Source organism: Homo sapiens, chromosome 3 (genome assembly GCF_000001405.40).
Source record: "Homo sapiens chromosome 3, GRCh38.p14 Primary Assembly".
NCBI classification, from domain to species: Eukaryota; Metazoa; Chordata; class Mammalia; order Primates; family Hominidae; genus Homo; species Homo sapiens.
In genome coordinates this window covers 99,637,116-99,655,276 of record NC_000003.12, presented here as the reverse complement: position 1 = coordinate 99,655,276, position 18,161 = coordinate 99,637,116, and the positions used below count along the sequence as shown (strand labels likewise).

General features: G+C 40.2%; 1 protein-coding gene and 1 long non-coding RNA gene across 3 annotated transcripts in view; one reads left to right on the top strand and one right to left on the bottom strand.

Annotated features, from left to right (window-relative positions):
* Positions 1-16,683, bottom strand: part of COL8A1 (collagen type VIII alpha 1 chain) — a 160,624-nt gene extending 143,941 nt beyond the window's left edge. For both annotated transcript variants that reach the window (NM_001850.5, NM_020351.4), the window contains exon 1: positions 16,613-16,683. The gene's annotated coding sequence lies outside the window, so the exon portion shown is untranslated. The remainder of the gene's footprint in view (positions 1-16,612) is intronic.
* LOC124909401 (uncharacterized) lies at positions 16,597-17,909 on the top strand. Its single transcript, XR_007095981.1, has 2 exons — positions 16,597-16,690; positions 17,343-17,909. It is a non-coding gene; the product is annotated as an uncharacterized LOC124909401 (long non-coding RNA).
* The last annotated feature ends 252 nt before the right edge of the window (positions 17,910-18,161 follow it).

Below are 18,161 nucleotides of genomic sequence, written 5' to 3'. Positions count from 1 at the left end.
TGGGTGGGATGGGTCTTGAATTAGTTATCCTTGACAGTCCTTGAGTGAGAGCCTTCTGCTGGGTAGAGATGGGTATGATGTGAGAGGACACTTGCCCCAGGGAGGGCTCAGAGAAATGCAGAAAAAGTGGCCTCTCTTCCATACTAAAAGGAAGAAAGGGGTTTTCACATTCCCCGTGCATTTGTTCTCTAAGTGGCTTTTTACTGGTTTCTGTGCCTTTCAACTGCAACCTATGGGTGCAGTAGAAACCATCCTTCATGGCATCTAGCACAGGGCTTGGCACATGGTGGGTCTCAATAACTATTGAATGAATGAATAAATGAGGTTGGCATGGAAGTCCTAACCAAACAAAACTGAGATAATAGAACTTGAGAAGATAAGTCTTAAAAAAAACCTCTTATGGTCCTTCTTCCTTTGTTTTTATGAACTAAAATATCTTCCACTATAGCTTGTAATTTCCTTTATTCTCACATTGTGCTTTTTTTTTTTGAGACAGGGTCTTACTCTGTTGTCCAGGCTGGAGTGTAGTGGCACAATTACAGCTCACTGCAGCCTCCACCTCCCGGGCTAAAGTGATCCTCCCACTTCAGCTTCTTGAGTGGCTGGGACTACAGGCATGCACCACCACACCTGGCTAGTCTTTGTACATTTTGTAGAGATGGAGTTTCGCCATGTTGCCCGGGCTGGTCTCAAACTCCTAGGCTCAAGTGATCTACCTGTCTTCATCTCCCAAAGTGCTGGGATTACAGGTGTGAGCCAATGTTCCCAGACACATTGGGCTTCTTAGAGCCATTTTCTTAAGATAACCTGGACTGATTCTTGGTAATTAAGACACACAGGTAAAAAAGTCAGGACATTTCTGACAGGAAAATGGAAATCAAGTAAGGTAGAATTGTGATAGTTAATATTGAGTGTCAACTCGATTGGATTGAAGGATGCCAAGTATTGTTCCTGGGTGTGTCTGTGAGGGTGTTGCCAAAGGAGATTAACATTTGAGTCACTGGACTGGGAAAGGCAGATCCACCCTCAATCTGGGTGGGCACCATCTAATCAACTGCCAGCACGGCTAGAATAAAGCAGGCGGAAGAAGGTGGAAAGAGCAGACTTGCTGAGTCTGCCGGTCTTCATTTTTCTCCTGTGTTGGATGCTTTCTGCCCTCAAACATTGGACTTCAAGTTCTTCAGCTTTTGGAGTCTTGGACTTACACCAGTGGTTTGCCAGGGGCTCTCAGGCCCTCGGCCACAGACTGAAGGCTGCACTGTCCGCCTCCCTACTTTTGAGGTTTTGGGACTTGGACTGGCTTCCTTGCTCCCCAGCTTGCAGACGGCCTATTGGGGGACTTCACCTTGTGATCATGTGAGCCAGTAATCCTTAATAAACTCCCTTTCATAAATACATCTATCCTATTAGCTCTGTCCCTCTAGAGAACCCTGACTAATACAAGGACTCTGGTACACTGACATTAAATATGGCAGGGAATATGCACAGGGCTTAAGGAGATTTATTGATGCATCAAAATACAGGGGCCAGGATGCATCTAGGATGCTGGCAGCCTCAAGGAGAGTGTTGTAGAGCACAGCAGCACAAAACTCCAGAAACTCACGGGATGAGGTAAGATCTTAGATGAGACACTCAGAACAGCCACATTTTTCCTGGTGATGCCACAGCTGCCCACCACACACACACAGACACATACACAACCCACACGTGGACTCTATATATACTGTGCATTGACATGGTGAAGGGAGAGAGATGCCCGTGAACTGGACAGGCATTGTGCAACCAGGAAAATTTCCTTTTAGGGGAACTGGTGGGGAGATTGAACTGTTGCCATTTGGTATAAACAAAGAACAATTAAACAAAACACAACCCCCCACCCAAACCAAACCAAAACCAAAAAAAAGACCAAAAATGTCAATCAGCCCATAAATAGTTTACACTGCCACCATGACCAATGCACAGCAGGACTCTGGCATAGTAAAGAGTTCATTAAATGAGCTACAAGGCACAGAGATTCTTAGTGCCCTTATTTGCAACACGTAGACAGCGACACTTGAAGCTGCTGCTCACCTAAATGACCGCTGTGCTGGCACTTAATTAAACATTCAATAATTGGTTTTCATTAGTATTAAATAAACTTTTATTGAGCACCTTCTGACTAGCAGACACTTTCTTACATGTTATCTTATTTAACTTTCACATCAATCCTGAGAGGTAAGTTTATTTTAGAGCAGAGGAAGCAAAGACTTGGCAAGACTTACTGTCTTGCCCAGGATGGCTGCGTTGTTCAGTGGTAAAAGTGGGACTTCATCTCAGGGCTTCTTATGCTAACTTCAGTGCTTTTTATTCAGGTCATGGTAGTAGCTTCCCATAGATAATTTAAGGTATTTTATTTTGTCTGCATAAATTACACACATTTGGGCATTAAATAAAAAGGGGGATTTAAAACTATCATTTAAAAATTTACAGACAGGTTTAAAATGGGTGTCCTTTAAAATCATAAACTATACAGAAGATAACCTACAAAACTATTCCTGCTGACTAGCCCATCAAGACATGTTAGCTGCCATATTATTGAGGAGAGTTTGGGTTCTCTTCTTGAAAAGCACATTCTCAATCACTTTTCCCTAAGCAAACCTTGCAGGTCAGTCCGCTTTCTTTTGCTGCACTTTCTTTTTTCTGCTACCAGGATGCTCCAAACTATTTCTGGATGTGATTTTGTTAAGATTCAGCCTGGATTAGTAGAAAGAAGAGGACTTCAGGGATGGGATGATCCAGATTTATATTCCAGCCCCAACACTCACGATATTAATGATATAAAGAAATTGACTTAATCTCTCTAAGCCTCTACTGCCTTATGTGTAAATTGTAGATAAAACCCCTCCCTACCAAATTCAAATGAAGGAATGTACATAAAATAAATGTAGCAAACTGTTTCTCCACAAAGGTTATTATCATCATTAATTATAGATTATTTTCATGTTTCAAAGTTCCCAAATTAAGATCCTTGCAACACTCTTTTGCTGATGTGGTGACAATGAATTCTATTTCATAAATATGAGAAGCTAAACATCTCCAGTGTACTTTCTCTGTGGAAAAGGAGTCATGGATTCTTCCTTTAGCCACTGGCTCATGTCTGCAGATGAGAATTTTATTTATATGTATTCAAATGTGATTTAAACACATGGTGATTCTTTTATGGCTAGATATAAAAAATTTACAAGTTAAATGTTATTGCTATCTTTACCATTGACTCTAGAGCTTTCTTATGATACAATTTGTAAACATTTTACAAGGCAGAGGAAAATACACACCCATAATTATTTCTTGATGTTGTCTGGCTCATGACAGCAGGATAAAGTCTTTTATTATTTTAGAAAGAGTTTTCATTGAAGGTTTTTCCAGTCATTCCAAGTAAACTTAGCTGCGAATGGAAAAGATACAGCTGATTGCCCTGGCTTCTGGAGTGGCTCTCCTGCCCTTGTCCTGCTCTGTGCTGAGTCAGAAGGAAAGCACGTAGGGTGGCCGACCTCTGACATCATTAAACATCTCTGTAAACTATTGCTGTTAGAGATTCACTCTGGCTTATTTTCTGAAGGCTTATTAATAGGTTAGAATCTAATCTGCAGACAGAATGTTTGATCACTTTGCTCATGGCTTTGCCAGGTACAGGATTTTATTGCATGGTTGGCCTGTTGGCATGATGATTCCTGAAGGGCTGTTGGTAAGCCAGCAAGTGCCAGGGGCACATCATTGTCAAATTCCAAGACATGCTACCTCCGCTGACCTGCTGGCGGAGAGCTTAGCCTTCTTCGCAGTGTTTCAGGTTGTCCACTGCAGAACACAGAAATAGAGACAAAAATGCTCTGGGAAAATCTATGATAAAGAACTACTTTTCTTTAAAAGGTGGTGAGGTTTCAGGAGGAAAGAAAAGCAAAAATCTGTGAGCTGAATTTGTTTCCGATACCCAGGTATAGTCTGTCTCTGTAGAAATGGTCATATTGAAGACTGAAGCAATTGTATGTCTCAGCAGGTATTTAAACCATGCTTTTTCCCCAAAGGGAAAAGAAATGAGATGGTAATGAATAATGGAACTTTTTCATTCCTCATCCCATTTTGTTTATATAGTGATAAAGAATCCAGGCAGTGATAGGGTGTCATTCTGAGGGATTTTAAGCCACTAAAATAAAGGAAAAAAAGGAGGCAAACACCATTTGTACAATATTATTAAAATTACAGATATAGGGAAGAAGACTTCTTTAAAATAACATAACACTTGGCAAAAGACCCTGTAGTCAGGCAATGCATTGAACATGACATTTAATGAACACTACTGCAGTCATAGCATTCACTGGGGATAGAAAAAAGCATATCTTATTCAATTTTTTCAGTAGTTTATATGCTCACCAAGGGACCTAAACCATAGCATATAAAAAGTTAAATAGTTTCTTGTTCAATATAGTATCCATTAGCCACATGTGGTTATTTAATTTTAAATTTAAAGAGATTAAAATAAAATGTAAAAAATCCAGTACCTCATTTGTGTTAGCCACATTTAAAGTGCTTAGTAGTCCTAGCACTTTGGGAGGCCGAGGTGGGGAGAGCACCTTAGCTCAGGAGTTCGAGACTATCTTAGGCAACATGGTGAAACCCTGTCTCTATTAAAATACAAAAATTAGCTGGGTGTGGTGGCGTGCACCTGTAGTCCCAGCTACTCGGGAGGCTGAGGCAGGAGAATAACTTGAACCCGGGAGGTGAAGGTCACAGTGAGCCAAGATCATGCCGCTGCACTCCAGCTTGGGCTACAGAGTGAGACTCTGTCTCAAAAAAAAAATTAAAAATAAAAATAAAGTCCTTAGTAGCCATACATGGCTAGTGGCTATCATATTGGAGAGCTCAGCTGTAGAAGGCAGAATGATTCCATCATTGCAGAAAGTTCTATTAGACAGTCCTGACTTATTCAATACAGTGCATAGGTGACATATTACTGACATTTAGAGTAACTGCTTGTTAGTTGAGAATAGGGAAGGATCAGTGCTTGTTATAATATTGATGAAGGCTTTAATAGGATTTTGAAATTATGGTTATTCTGACAGGTTGAAAGGAGAATGGGGGACATTTTCTGTAGAGAAAGGAAAAAGGAATGTTTGGGGGAGTAGTAGCCCATCAGATTTAATTCCTGTTTATAGACTTGAGGGAGGTGAAGATGAAAAGAAGCTTTGGGGTGAGATAGGTTGTGAGACTCGACTGTCAAGCTAAAGTGTTTGTTCTACATTTCATAATGCCATTAAATCCTTTTGAGCAGGGTACTAACAATCCTGGGACAATGGTCACATGGGAAATAATTTTTCTTTGTGTAACCTGGTATATGGAGCACCAATATTAATATTAGAATACCATTAGGCATTCATCTTATGCCCCATGTTTAGCTGCAGAGTTCAGTCAAAGCCTAGTAACACTGTGTATGTGTATGTGTGTGTGTGTGTGTGACAGAGAGAGAAAGAGTGAGCAAGAGAGAGCACATATTTATGCTATGGGATGGGGAGGAAAGGGAGATGTGGAATGTGGAAGCGCGGTTCTTGGTTCTCTCAGAAAACCACACGGAAGACTGGGGTAGTGTTGGTCATTTCATGAAGTCCTAAAGAAATCAGGATATTCTAAATTTTATTCAGAACTTTTATTCTTTCTAAGATGTTCATTTTCATCAAGGAATATTTCAGAATGGAAAGGAGTTTCTACCATATCTAGATATACCCCAATCACATCAAGGCTTCAAGAATGAACTTAGGCCAAATTGTCCCTTTTTAGAACAATTTATGGGGACAGAGAGTAGCACAATTAAAATCTTTATTCACCGTCAACTTATTTTATTCCCCTACCTCTATTTTTTTCTTTTCTTTTCACATTTATTAAGCCCTTATTATGTGCCAAGCATTGAGGTTGCAGAGGTAAATAAGACACAAATCTTTCTGCAAGGAGCTCACAGTCTTTATGGAGGTGGATACACAAATTAAACTCATGCCATTATAGAATGGAGACAACTGTGGCAGGGCTTGTACAGAGAGTTCTAGGGAGTCTGAAGGAGATCCACGAGGCAGCTTGGGTTAGGCTGGTTTCAGGCATGTTCTCACAGAGGGGAAGATACTTACTTAATCTGAATCTTGGAAGAGGAGTATAAATTAATCTAGTAGATTAAGTGAGAAATACTACAAGCAGAGAGGGAAGATCAAGAACAAAAGCCAAAAAGCATAACAGAATGTGAGCATGGGGGAAAAAGCTAGGCTTTGTTTCCTTTTTTGTCTTTGGCACAGGATAAAGGAAGGGCTTGAGGTATATTTATTTCTATATATACTCTCACTGCAGGCTAAGCAGCAGGTGTAGACAACATAGACATTTTCCTAGGTGACTCTCATGGCTTGGGGGAAACATTTAAGTCATGTTTACTGTCATCATCTGGCTACGGTTTATGGTAAAAGTCGTGCCAAAGAGAATAATCTGGGGAGCTAGATACAAGTTCATTTAATGTGCCGAAGTGCCTTTGCTCTAGTGTTTCTCATAGAATCATGGAAATTTCTATTGCCTTAAGAATGACATGCTAGACTGTCATTCTTTTTACCGGATTGGTGCCAAGCAACTTGTCTTCACTTGGGGAGAGTTTATGGACTAACTTTTAGCCCTTAAAAATTACCCTAGGGAGAAATGATGTTTTTTGTTTTGTTTTGTTTTTTGTTTGTTTGTTTTTTCTTTTCTAATTACACAGTCCTTACTTTTTTGGCTCTGAAATGACAGCATGCTTTTAGATTAAAAAAAACAAAAAAGAAAAAGAAATTAAAATCACTGTATTAAACAAGAAACAGAGCCAGTAAGCAGTGTCTAGGAACAGAGCCACTAGAATTCTCTCACTTTCTTTATGAGTCAGAGGCGTTGTCATAGGAAGTTTATTTTTATTTTTTTCCTCCATGATAGGACAAGACATCATGAGAAGCAGCACAGGCGGGCAGGAAGACCATGGACTTTGGACTGTGACCTGGATAGAAGAACCTGCTCTGCCTCTTCCTAGCTGTGTGGCCCTAGGCAATTTGCTTAACGAGTGGAGGCTTAGTTTTTCTCATCGTTAAATTGGGAATAATAACACCCTTCTTGTAGGGTTGACATGGGGAATATAGATAACGGGACTAGCACAATATCTGGTCCTGTTAGATAACAAATAGCTTTTATTATTATAACCATTAATGATGTGTTTGAATTTCTCCCTTCTCCTTTAGATGACTATGAGCTACTTATTTTCTGAAAGCAGAGGGTGCTCAACTGTGCCACTTACGGGATACTGACCTCCAGGCACTAACTTTGTGAAGTGGAAAGATAATTCCCAGAGTAATGTCCTAAGAGAAATAGTAAATTGTATGGAGTGGGAGGTCTGAGTGTCATAGATAAACTAAGTAATTCCTCATTCAGTAAATTACACCAGAATATCAGTGTGTTCCTCCTACAGAAATTAGCTCCCTATTGATGGTGAGAAAGCAAATGCTCAAAGAAAATATTTGGCCAACGATCTTGGTTAGTTAATGATAGTAAAGATAAAGCAGGAAATTAACAGCTCAGAGACTGATGAGCTAGTTCAAAGAATTATCTAGGCTCCTTGTTTATTGAACTTATTGCTCATTGTTGGCCGCTTCTCTCTATACAGTATCCAGAGAGTGGGATGGAAAGGAAGAGACAACTTCAATTTGTCCAGTGTTCTAAAGATTTTTTGGGTAGAAGTGGAGGTTGAAGATATGAGAGAGAGAGAGAGAGAGAGAGACTTGAATAATATTTCTGGCATTCTTGCTATTATTGTAATAAAGAATTGAGCCATAGAACAAAGGCATGTTATCTGCTTCTTTTGTTCCTGTTTCCCCTGGGTTTTAGAAATCTCTCTACATATCTTAGAGTGACATTCAGTATGTATTACTTAACAACTAGCAAGACTGAAAATACCATGTTCTGACTGATCTTGAAATAATGCTGCAGGAAGTGATTCTTAAACTATTCTTAAGCTGTTCCGTAGAATATCAGTCCCAGGAGATGCGCTCAGGCAGGGTAGATATGTCATCAAATGTTTAAGGAACACTCGATTGTAACATCTTTGAAGGATGAAAATATATATAGCATATAAAAATTTCTGTGAAGCCATACAGTGAATAAAAATGTTTAATATTGTTTCATTGAGTGTTTCTAAAGCTTATTTGACCACAGAACTTTTTTCTGTATAAACACTGATGAATCCCAGGTAGCAGTGTTTTGAAATGCACTTTGGAAAATGTTGAAGCAAGGGATGCAGAGATTTTATACAAAAGTCATTATTAAACAGTTATCTTTCTCCAGTTAAAATAGAGTTTTTAGATCAGAAACCCTGTATTGTATGTGAGAAATTCCCCTTTGGCTGGTCTCAAAATACAGATTGGTAAGAATATAAGCCTTTTAAGACTCTTTAAGCCATTTTCTAATTATTATTTGTTTTTTTACTTTCCACTTACCCTTGATCTTGTTTGGCCTTTTGAGATATGTGGGATTGACCTCTGTATTCTGAGAAACAAAAATGCTCTTGCTATATCTTGGAAGGTTATGTGGCTACTTGACATTTTATCCCATTTTGACTGATTTTGTATAAATACTTTGAGCCCTTCCTAGTTATTGTAAGTATAATCCATTTACCGTACTAAATTAGTAACCGTAAAATGCATGCTTAATTAGTATCTTTCTGAAAAATACTTGACAGGACCTCACATGTCTCTAAGTGGTAAAGAAGGTAGTTATTTAAAAATTGTTCTGCTTAAGATAAATAAATTAAGGCACAGAGACGATCAGTGACACGCCCCTTGCCCCAGAGAGAGTCAAGGTGTTTTTGAAATTAAAACACTGAAGATTTTCTGGTGATTCACAAGTCACATGCACACCAACTCCATAGCTTCATCTCTATGGACACAAAAAATGATCTTAGAGGATTGCTGTTTTGCTGTGAATGTCATAATTTTTACTAAGCAAGCAGCTCTCCTCTGGTGTGCCAAGGATTTTTTTTATGGTCCTAATTGATCTCTATCCCCCAAAGGGTTCTGAATTATGCAAGTGTCTCAAGTCTTAACAAGCCATCCCCACACAGCTGTGCAATGGAAATGTTCAACAGAAAGGTATTCACTTCAGTCTAGGCAAGACCCTGGCTGCTCCCTGGAGAGACCCAGATTTAGGGGAGCAGGTTCTGGACCCTCTGGGTGGAGAAGCCTATTTGGCCCATTTCTGTCTTTTTTTCTCCCAGCTCCCTTCCCCTTACTCCACTGACAGGGAGGGTCTAGTCACCGCAGGCTTCCTCAGTCTTTGTGCTTGTCTCTCACTGACCCCCAGCTGCCAGGCTTTGTTTATTACTGAATTGAGCATTTAGATTCAGTCTTGGCTGGTGGTAGCCTTGGAAAGAACATTTTCTAAGATTGTTTTAGTTTTCTTTCAAATAAACTTCCACAAGCCCGGACATTTCAGGCATTGCTAATGCCAGAAATGTGGGTGATTTATTCTTAGAGGCTTAAATTAGGATTTTTTTTTTTTTTTTAAAAAGAAAACTAACAATGTGATCTACTACAATGGCATACATTTTAGCCATTGGTTGTAAGGGACACTTTGCTCTGCCTTCGATCCGAAAAACTTAAATCTAAAGGCCCCTTCTGGGACCAGATCAGTTTCTATTGAGACACCCAGCCCCTGGCTCCCTCTACTGGTGAACAACCTCCCTCTCCATTTGGGCAGCAGGGGATTGTAATTAACTGGGGGCTGGAAAAGGGACTAGACATGTCCTTAAACTAGAACTGTGGATCCAATAGCATATTTTTGCCACAGATCCCCTTTCTTTCCTCATTCTTCCAACCTCAACAATCTTGGCTACCTAACTCACAAATTCTTAGCTCCCCCTAGTGCCCTCCTTCATGTACTTTTTGGCTTTAATCTTATGTCTGCCATTTAACAAGAAGTCGCTTGTTTGGATTGATAGCATTGATGAACACCATGACTCCTGGACTTTAAGACTGGGCAATCGCTAAGTAGATCATTAAAGAAATACAATAATGTACAATCATCACTGAATTTATGAATGAAGTTTAGGCTTATCGTCAGAGTGTAGACACCATGCTAGTTGGAAGAAGATCCTAAATGGGATGTTGGCTTGAAAATGCGTCCCACCTGCCCCATCACAGTGCTCTTCGGTCAGCTGTTAATATTTGAAATCCTCCTACTGAACTGAAGGCAGCTGCAACTTAACCCCTCTGCTGCCATAAACTAGCCATAATTGCCTTAGAACACAAAGCCTCAATTATGCAGGCCATTGGCCCAGACTTCCAAAAAGCAGCTGTTTTATCTAGCTAACAGAGGGGACTAGAGAAGCTCCCCAATAGGCTAGATACATGTTATTTCCTAGAGAAGTTGACAGCTGACACCCACACCCAGGCCTATTTAGTTAGAGTTGGAAAAGTAGCACATGAAGTGATTGTCTTCAGTCTCAGCACATCAAATGATCCAATGCCTAAATATCCTGTGATGTAAACACATCAATTGGAAGCTTAAGAGGGACAGTCTTCAAGAAAGACTTACTTAAAAGAATGTTTTCACAGTGATGCTTAGCCATAGACTGTGTTAAATTTAACATATAATAGATCGATTTTAGAAACACACTTACTATTTCGGAGATATGGAAATAATTGTCAGGCATGCTTCAGAGGAAAGTGAAGAAGCATCTGGGCTAACATCTGTCTGCTTATTCAGGGTAAATTGTTTACAGAAACAATACAAGAATATTCTTTCCTGCCTTCGTCACTTTCTATGATGGAGTGACTTTATGTGTTACCAATAATTGTGTTGTTATTTTAGCAGAGAACATTTCAATGACTTGACATCCATGGAGTTATTATCCTGGGTCAGAGTCAAGTCTAAAAGGAGGTGAAATGAGGTTCCTTTCCCACTTGAGGGCCAGTCAAATGATAAGAAGAGTTTTAATAGATATGGTACTTATAAAGCTTTCACACCTGTGTCATCCAGGCTTCAATTAGTGTTGTATTTAAAGAACCCTGACTCAAACAGAAAGTCATCTCTCAAGCATTTGAGAGGGTCTGGTTTTGGACAATGCTATTAAAATCTCTTGTAGCATTTCAAAACTCTTGGAGATTCTCCCTCCTCTGTTTCAGAGGAATAAACTCTCTTAGCTTCACTGTCTTGTCTCTATACTCTTAGTCCCTTGATCACCTCTCCCCTCTGCCCCTCTGTTACAACAAATCTCATACCTACACATTCTGACTGATGTGTCCCTTAATGTTTTTCCTGATTATCCATTATGGGTATTTTGCTCTTTCTCTCATTAGAGGCCGAGGAAGGTACAAAATGGTTAAATTGGCAACACTTTGTCTGTTGGGTGGAAGAGGAGAGTTACGCTGTAAATCTCACATTCTAATTCATTTGTTCTCTCAAATGAATATTGGAACTAGATCTTAAGCCTCCTGTAAAAAATAATACAGTTTCTAGAACTCAAGTAAATATGGGAAGAACTAGTGAGAATATTGCAGACAGGAAAACGGCTTAGCCATTGCTAAGGCTAAAATGAACTCTTCTAGATTTCCCAAAGCAAGGGAGAATCTTAAACTCAATACATTTGAGACCTGAGTCACTGTATGTCTGTATAGACTGTTTTCTACGAAGTAAAATTTACTTTGTAAATCCATTACTTTGTAGAAAGTAGTTTTATAGACTATATTTTCTACAAGTAAGAAAGGAGTTTAGGAAAATGGATATTTTATACTTAGCTTTTTTCCCCATTCATTCACCCACTCAACACAGATTTACTGAGCAGCTACTATGTACCATATCCTGGGCTGGTTAAAAACATACCATCCCTGTGATGGTGATGACCATTGACTTCACTCTTCACAAGAATTTATGTCAACGTGTCCTAGACATTTGGTAGTAGAGGTATAGCTGTAGTCCAAACCTCTACCAAGCTATGGTTTCTGAGAGCCCTGTATGTTAAGTGCCTACGGAATGCTCAGCATAGTCAAAGACACCTTAGATTCACATTATACGAGGAGCCACACTGCAGTTATTCAAGATTAAGCACTGGCTGGAGAAACTGGCTGTATGAACTCCAGCCTTGGGTGTGCTGTACTCATCTGGGTGGCCTGGGGAAAGACATTAATCTTTCTGATCTTTTGCACCTGTAAAATTAACTTTTAGTTACAATTAGCTCCAAGGTCTTTTCCAGCATTTATCTTTTATGATTCTCTAAAGTTTTTTTAATTTCCAAGAAGTTATAATAAGTACTGGATAAGTAAAATGGCTTTGAAACCTCATCTCAGATATTCTGTTGGAGGCAAGTAGCAATTTTAAATTACTTTCTTCTAGGTATGTGAATTAAAGTTTAGAAAAATGTGAAGCTTTTACATTTGATAGGGTGAAAATTTATATCCTATTTAAGAGAAGTATGAGGAAATTTTTGGTAATGAGAGAAGCCACAAGTATGAGTGGTTCTTTAGAAACTTGTTCTATGAGAATTAAAAAGAGATTTTTTCCAGGGAAAGAACAAAGGAAATGTCACAGAGGGACTATGACTGCATCTGCACATCCTGAAAGGTTTGCTGAAGGAGAGAAGGGTCAGTTTTTGTTGTCCAGGAGGGACGATGGAAGTGAGCCCCAAATAAATAGAGGACACCGAAGGTGAATTGTCAGGTGTGTGTTCATATTTTACATAGTCAGCTAAAGTTGTTGCTTTTGCTCTTATCCTACATTGAGAAGTTAGAATTCATTATTTTTATTTTTATTGATTACTCTGTGATCAGTTTTGGTGAACACTTTTTGTTTTATTCACTTCAGTTTGATCTGATGCAATTTCAATGGCTTCATGAATTTGAGTACACACGACTTCAGGCTTGTAGACATTCTAACCTTGTGTGACTCCCTTTAACCCCATTCCTGCAAATCTGCTTGAGGAAAAACTATGAAGAACCTTCTCCCTCAAACAACAAATGGAGTTACTAAAGTGATAGAGGGATCTCTCATTAGCAGCTTTTCTCTGTTTGTGTTGAAATGTGGTTAATGCTCATACTTCTCACTCCTTATCTCTCTAGAAAGGGGAAGTTTAATAGAGCTATAATTTAGTAGTGTGGGGTGTAACCTGCTGTTAATATCTGCCAGGTCACTGGAAGATCTTCTTCATTATATTCTTAGCATTTTGTGACAACTTTTGAACAGGTTCTTTAAATAAATGTGTATTCCCAGATGCTTTAGGGATTGAGATATCCTTTTCACACAATGCTAAAAAGAAAGATTCTCTAAATTCCAAAGGGCATTCATTCTCCCCTTAATTCTCCTCTCCTCTCCTTTTGGTTTTCTTTTCACTCAATAGTTAGACCAGTGCACCTTTCACAAGAATACACTCAAGTTTCAAGATCTGTACCTTCTTTAACTTATGTACATGTATGTTTATAGGGGTCTGGTTGAAGAGAAGGAGGTCAAGGCAGAAACACCTAGCTCCCAGAGGGTTACTTGGAGGACCAGAGGTTTTAGGAAATACGGTGTGTCTCAATCTGTCTGCAAGTTTCCATACCAAAGTGAGTAACCATGGATAAGGAGTAAATTGCTGTTTCTAACTTTTAACTTACAAATAAGCACTCAACATTACACTTTTCAGGAGACTTAGGGTTGGTTTTGTTGACGTGACCCATCTGTTAGTTAAAAACATGTTTTAAGGAGTTTTTTATTTTAACTCATAGTATAGCTTTTAGAATTATGACTAGCAAATTACTGTGGGTTTTTAAATATGGGGCAAACCTGAAATCATTTTCATCATTAGAACCAAGCTGTTCTTTTCTGCTAAAGAAGGAGGGCTAAGAAGAAGGGCATAGTAGAGATGGATCTTATACTCTCATTGATTAAAAAACAACAAACAAATAAAAAGACAAGAGCAGACATGGATTTTTGCTCTTCCCCATCCCCTCATGTTCACATAAATGAGGGTTGGGAGAAGTTGCGTTTCGTAACAGAGCTCCTAATCTTGCTTTTCTCCTAGGGCACTTCTGTGATTCCTCCAGCTTCTCTTTCAAGTCCCTTTTCACCCCAATCCTCTTCTCCTTGATTTTTATTTCATAAATAGGAATAAAGTGGCATATGTTTTCTGATCATGAAAAGGATATCATTTTATAATTTTGACAGTAGTAGAACATCTAAAATGCACATTTCTGTAGGATCAGCAAGCCCTCAAAATCAGTAGAGCTCCCTTCTTGTGTCTCTAGTGAAAGCGGCAGCTTCTCATCTTATCTTTTCTGAGAAACATTAAGAAGTCCTCCCAAGTCTGCCTCAATGGCATTGGTTGGGTATAGTCATGGACTTGATCAAGAGGCAGCTATATAATGGCAAAAAGAGGAGACTCACGTGAAGTATCCACATCCCATGCAGAAGGGGAGATTTGGGGGCGACTACATGAAACTTCGACACTGATTTTTCTAAAAGCTTAAGAAGAGCAGTGTCATCTTGCTTGGTATGTACCCTATGGAGAAAGGATAGCTTTGCTCCTGGGAAACTTAGATCATGAGCAATCTAAGATGATCTCACTCAGTTATTTAGGGGCTTGAACTTGATGGGACATAGGGAAGGCAGTTACTGTTTAACGGTCCATAGCTGGTCCGGTGGATTAATTGCCAGAGAAAGCAGAAGTAAACCCTTGGAGAATACTTTTATCCCCAAACTTAGGAATAACTGGAAGCTCATTTAAACTGGGAGCATTTCCCCCTCCACCCCAAGAAAAGATAACTTCCCTCAAGGGGATCTGGTGAATGAAGCAGCGTATTTTCATCCTTGTGATAATGGGTGTGAGTCAGGCACTACCATAAAAGAAGAATTAACTTGAATGTGCCACATACTTGGTCTGGCCTTGTCCCATACCTGTACTCTTGTCATGGTTGATTACCTATGTGCATCAGATATAAAGCAAGCAGTCTGCATTGTGGCATGAGATAAAAGGTATGTTAATATGCTCAGGTCACATACTATCTTGGCCAATAGTAATTTTATATAATTTGCTTAAAGGAAACTGCACTTCTTGCAATATTTTTTTCCAATGAAGAAAAATTTAACGTGACAGAAGCTTTATATATAACTCTTGCATTTGAGTAACAGCATTGAATCCTCTCCATCTCAAGCAGAACTTTTAAATATTTTTATTACTTTTGATATGCAAAAGCTAAGGAGAAATGGTTTGGAAGACCTAAGTTAAATTTCTAATGAGTCTTGTTTCTTTAATAGGGGAGAATTTCATACAGCTTCGGTGAGTTTTTTCTTTCCACATGAGATAATATAAACAAACAAAAAAATAAAAAAGTGAAACATTTCTCTTCTTACTTTAAGAACCTTAAGGGCTAAAAGAGTGGTTTGGTTTCCTGACTGGTACTTTTGGTTTGCCTTCTCTAAGTGGTCTTGAGCAATTCCCCAGAGGAAACATTTGAAGAGGGTTTTTCTCCCACTTGAGAGAGTTTCATCCCACACAACCCACAGAATTTGATGGCAAACTTCATGGACCAAGTGTCTGGTTTTACAGAAGTGGCTGTGGAGTATGTTTTTCCTTTCACAGGTGCACATTTATTCTACCTTAGGAATAAGAAGAGATCATTTTCTTTTAAAGAGGGTAGCTTAAACACTGAATATCTCTGATAATTGGATGCCAGTCAGGTAGGTTGTGATTTACTAAATGCGGGGGAAAAAAGGTGGAAAGAAGGATTAAAACTTCCAAAGCCTTTCTCGCTGATCTTTCTTTACAACCATCTGGTGTGCACAGAAGTATTGTATAATCTGGCCTGTATTATTCTCTTACTGTGAAACATATTGAAACACTTTATGTTTAGGTGTGTGTACAGAAATTCATGAAGTTCTTTTATACACTTTCTTAGTTCCATCGTAATTCTCATTTTAGGATGTCGTGAAAAGATAGCCTGGTGAGAGAGCACATTCTACCCTGGCTTGTGAATTTGGATTTGTTCCTTCCTATCTACCAGCCACCTGATTACTTACTGTCCCCGTGCAAAGGGCACCCGTTCACATCATTTTTTTCCAAGCGCTAAAACCTGGAAAGATATTTTTTTAAAGGACTCACAGAAGCTGTCTTGGGGGTTTGGAAAACATCACAAAATTGTTAGCAGACCTTTTGACTGTGCTATTTTTAGGAAGTTAACTGTGTTCTTTTAAAGTACATTTTTGACAATGGGACAACGTTTTCCTTGCCCCCACTGATGTGTGAAATATGTACAGTGAAAAACGTCAGTACAACACCCCAAACAGATACATTTTAACCTAAGCAACAGTCAGCAACAGGAGAAAAAGTGATTTAAAAAGAGAAAGGTTTCGCAATATTTATGCTGCTGTTTCTTCCCTGAAGGAGCTTTTATTTTACCATTCAAACAGAAGTTTGTTTTCAAACCAGTTGCTAGTTAAAGGAGCAGCGGATCGCGCATCCGTAAGAATCAGCTCTAACCAAACAGCAAACGCGTTGGCCAGAGGGTGACTTATTCCCCCATAGCAACCCCTGGTAGGTGAGCTGCCTGCAGAAGTGCTGTCTTACCTTGAGCACGTAAGATCAGGGAGAGAGGCTCGCTGGCTCCCACGGAGAGGATCGGGGAAGGGCTGTGATCCGCTGCTGGTAACATGCACTTGGCTTTTATGGGCAGGTGGGAGGAGCTGCTCCTCATAGTAGGTGGGCAGGGAAGGAGCGGCGGGCGGGCAGCCTCTGGAGGAGCTGGACACTCTTCTCTGGGGAGGGGCGGGCAGAGACTGGAGCCCGCAAGGCGGAGGAGAGACGACGGGGCGGGGGGAGGGGGAGCGCGGTCACAACGGAGGAAGGAGTGGAAAAGGGAGAGAGAGGGAGAAGGGAAAAAAGAGAGGGAACTAGAAATAGTGAAAGGGATCTTGACCACAGATGGGGAAAGGTGGGGGAGAAAATGAATAGCAGAGACAGAGAGAGAGAGAGTGTCTGGGAGGAAAGGGGAATCGGAGTATTTTCCGTTTTTGCATGACATTTTTTGGCAGAGGGAGTTGTGGGTGATTGTGACTTTTGAAGGTGTTTTCTGTGAATTTGGGAATTTGAAAAGCTACATAGCGGTCCGGGAGAACTGAAGGGTTTCTAAGCGAGGCAAGGGAGGTGAAGCTGGGCGTCCGGGCAGCAGAGCCAAAGTTCAGGGTGGACCCGGACCTGGAGCTGGAGGCACTGACATGGCCTGGAGCCAGGCAGCCCCCAGCCCTCAGCCCCGTCCCACCGCCCGCGGGTGAAAATCGCCCCATCCCTCTCCCTCCAGGCAAGGCTTATTTGACAAGGAAGTTCCTGCGCTGCCTGTCCTCTGAGCATCCAGAGGCCCCTTTTGAGACTTCGGCAGCATTAAAGTAAATCCAGCAACGGGGAGGATTCGCGTGGACTTGCTTGTGGAGACAGGAACCTCAGAACCAGCCTGGGTCTTCCAGCATCTGCTTATGTAACGTAGGATTTCAGAGCTCTCTGCCCTCTGGTTATTTTCGGTATTTAAAACACTCTCATTCCTAACAATCGGAAAACGTCTTGGTGCCACAGTTCTTTCTCAGTGTGTCTTAAACATTAAGAGAGGATTCAACCAACAAGTGGCTAAAGGATCAGTCTGAAATTACTAAGAAATGCATTCAGAGAAAGAAAAACAAGCTCCTTTCGCTGCTGAGTGGTGACTCACTTCCTAGCCCAAGCCTGATTTTTGCCACCAAAGGAATTAAAGCATTTTAAAAGAGAACCTGAGACTTGGGGTGGGAGATACAGTACCGGGAGGGGGAAAAGGCGGGAATGGGAGGGGGGAGGGATGGGTAGGCTGGAAATAATAAAGGAACGAACTTGTACTGAATATGTATATATGTACTTCATTCAGTGTTCACCGCAACCTTATGAGGTAGGTATGATTCATATTGTGCAGATTTATTTATTTTTTTTTTAATTTAAAGAAAGGCATCTCTAAGGGTTTAAATAACTAGCTCAAGCTAGCGAGAGGGGGAGCCACAGCTAGCGAGCTTGCAAACCTTAGGCACTCTTCAGTACACCAGGCTGCCGTATAGAACACCTAGGTTCGTCTCAGGTTAGATCCTGATGTCATTGGCTG